The 2,798-nt window shown below is 47.5% G+C and overlaps 1 annotated feature.

Annotated features, from left to right (window-relative positions):
• Window positions 1,194–2,393: an enhancer, noted in NCBI's record as "BRD4-independent group 4 enhancer chr5:2393157-2394356 (GRCh37/hg19 assembly coordinates)". NCBI's record gives its function as "activates an origin of replication core promoter dependent on BRD2, P300/CBP, MED14 and CDK7 cofactors, and independent of BRD4, by STARR-seq in HCT116 cells {active_cell/tissue: HCT116}" and the evidence as "EXISTENCE:reporter gene assay evidence [ECO:0000049][PMID:35650434]".

The raw sequence follows: 2,798 nt of genomic DNA, 5'->3' as shown, positions 1-2,798 counted from the left end.
CACCAGAAGACAAAGACATTTACAGAGCCACCCTTGGGAGCCCAGTTGTCATCTTGGCTCAGGAAGTCCCCACATTCATCTGCTAGGTGTAGAAGCCATCCGGAGCTCTGCTGCGGGCCATCTGGGACTAGAAATTTGCCTGGAGTTTGTAAGCAGGAGCCCCTTCCAAGAGCAGAGAAAGCATAGCCTGGGGCACGGGCCCTGTGGCTCCGGAGCACCTCTGGAAGGGACACACCCCAGGAAGACGCGCGGGGGCCCTCCTGGCCGCCTCTGGTAAGCCTTTCAGGCCTGTCTTCACCAGCGTGAATTTGTCTCTTTCAAAGGGACGACATTGAGGTCGGCATGCCTACTGAGCATTCCATGTTTTCTGGAAAGTGAACGTACGGAAGCAGCTAACAGGACACAGACGTACGTGAGCAGATTTATCCTGCCTGCCTGCTGAGGATGCCATCGGCTGGAGGCTGAACTGCCAGCTTCACAGATTTCCTATAAGTTGCCCATTATTAAATTTTAATTACATAGTTGAACTAAGAGCTTTATGCTAATAAAGACAAACTAGAAATAAAACTTTCAAAAGGGACAATTGTCCTAATCTATTTCACTTGGGTCTAGGGAGATAGATCATTGTTTCAATGGGGTCCTAATCTGTGATGCTGAGAGATGTATGTAAATGGCAGCCATGCTTGCAGAGTGACAAGAAACTCCCAGCTTCGTCTTTAGATACAAAATCGTCACAGGTGCGTGGCTGTTTTGGACCCACACAGTAGACCTGGCTGATGTCTCCAGTGTAATCCGTCACCACAGAGAGTGGCAATGTTCAGTTCCTCTGGAAAGAGGATGGCAATGTTGAAGCTGCTCTTGCAGCTTTACTACCGTGCAGAAAAATACAAAGTGAGCCTGTTCTTTCAGGGGCAAAGTGAGATGGGGCACAGGCTAGGAGGACTTCTGGGTTCGTTGGAGAGATTAACCTCTTTTCTGGGGAGGGTCACTATGTTAGCAGGAGCATCTCCCAAGCTTGCTTCGAGATGACAAGTGTCTGTCATCTATAGAGGCCACTTCCAGAATGGTCACTGATCATGGCTGCATGATGGGGTTGCATCATTTTCACCTGGACCACAGACACTAAGTCCACTGGTCACACTCCTCCTTTATTTTTTTTTCTCTAGTCCACATGATATACTGCCTCTTCGATTGTTTTTCTCAACTCAAGAATAATTATGTCCTCTCACTCTTGCTCAGAGATCTTCACTGAGATCCTGTAACACTTTTGTAATTTATAAACCATAAGCCGCTTTATTAACTCGAATTTATAAACCATAAGCCGCTTTATTAACATTATGGGTGGTGCTCTCTGCCAATACAGATAGGCATTCCCTTTCTTTTTGTTTTGTGTGTGATCGTGTTTTAGTTGAAAAGCACCAGGAGGTTCCGGATAACCACGGGAGGACAAACACAGGTTTGTTTCTCTACATCCAGAAAACCCAAGATGTCAGTAAAAGACGATGAAGGTGTAAAATAAAAAGAAAAACTATTAGAGAAGTGATCACCACAAATGGAAGATGCCAAGACATGCCCGTGGCTGGGAAGCTGAGGTGGGTGGGGGGCAGAGGAAGGTCACAGCGAGCTGCTTGCAGAGGGATGGGGACAGCACTGGTCTCCAGGAGGGAGACCCACTGTGGGGACAGATCCCCACCGAGCCGAGACCACATGGAGAGAAATCCAGGTAAGGAGCCCTGATCTCGGGCCCCCTCCCAGCCATAAGCAGCGCCCTTCAGAAAAGCCTGCTGTGAGGGCTGTAGCTTCTGGGTCAGCAGGCACAGCCAGGGCAGGAGGAGGGCTTGCAATCAATGTCCTCAACAAACTGGCCTCAGATGCAGACAGAAAACAGCTTGCGTAATTTTTTTCTCAACCTTGTTCTCCTCTGGGGACCACCTTCTTCCTCTCCTGGATTATAGCTTGAGTGGATTCCTTAGCTTTTCAGGCCCCTCTGAGTGAAATTTATAAGCCCATCCTGTTCAATATTAAAGCTCCTATCTCTTGCCCAGGGTCAGACTCCCACCCCCTTCTGCAGGTCCACGATGCCACAGGGAAGACGTGTATCCCCCACAACAGAATGCTGAAGGATTCGCCTCTGGAGGGAATGGCTAGCTCGATACTGACACACAGAAAAATGGTCCTGTCTCAGCTCCATGTAAATCCACCACCAGACGAGCTCTTCCCAAGTACCCAGAAGCTCAGTCAGCAATTTGGCAACTCTGTCTTCAATATGGGGGAACAGCCATGGGTCAACACTTCGTTGAGGGAAGCCATTGAACTTCCATGATGATGGGAGTGCTGTCTCTCTGTGCCCCCTAAATTGATGCCCACTAGTATCTTTGACCACTTAGAAATATATCTGAGCACTAGAAATATGATATAGAAATGGGGGTGAGGACCTGAATTCTAAATTGTATTTATTTGGAAATAATTTAAATGTAAATTGTCATGTGTGCCTAATGGCTACCATATTAGACTGCACAGTTAAAAAAGCTTTTACCAAAAGAGATAGAATCCAAACCTTCTCTAGGAAGGTAGAGGAAGGCATTTCACCAAATAGTGGAATAATTCCAGGAAAAGAGAGGTATCAGTTCTAGGAGTCAGAAGCTCAAACCCAGGCAAAAGGCAGAGAAAAGCACGAGAATGAGGGTGAACAGAGACGACATCTGAGGGTAGCCCTGACGGCAGCCTGTGTTATAAAATAAAGAAGAGAGGAAGGAGGGAGGAAGGAGGACAGAAGAGGGAGGAAGGAAGAGAAAGAG

The sequence above is a fragment of the Homo sapiens genome, chromosome 5 (genome assembly GCF_000001405.40).
Source record: "Homo sapiens chromosome 5, GRCh38.p14 Primary Assembly".
Classification (NCBI taxonomy): domain Eukaryota; kingdom Metazoa; phylum Chordata; class Mammalia; order Primates; family Hominidae; genus Homo; species Homo sapiens.
Note: the sequence above shows the minus strand (reverse complement) of the source record. Positions and strands in the feature narration are given on the sequence as shown.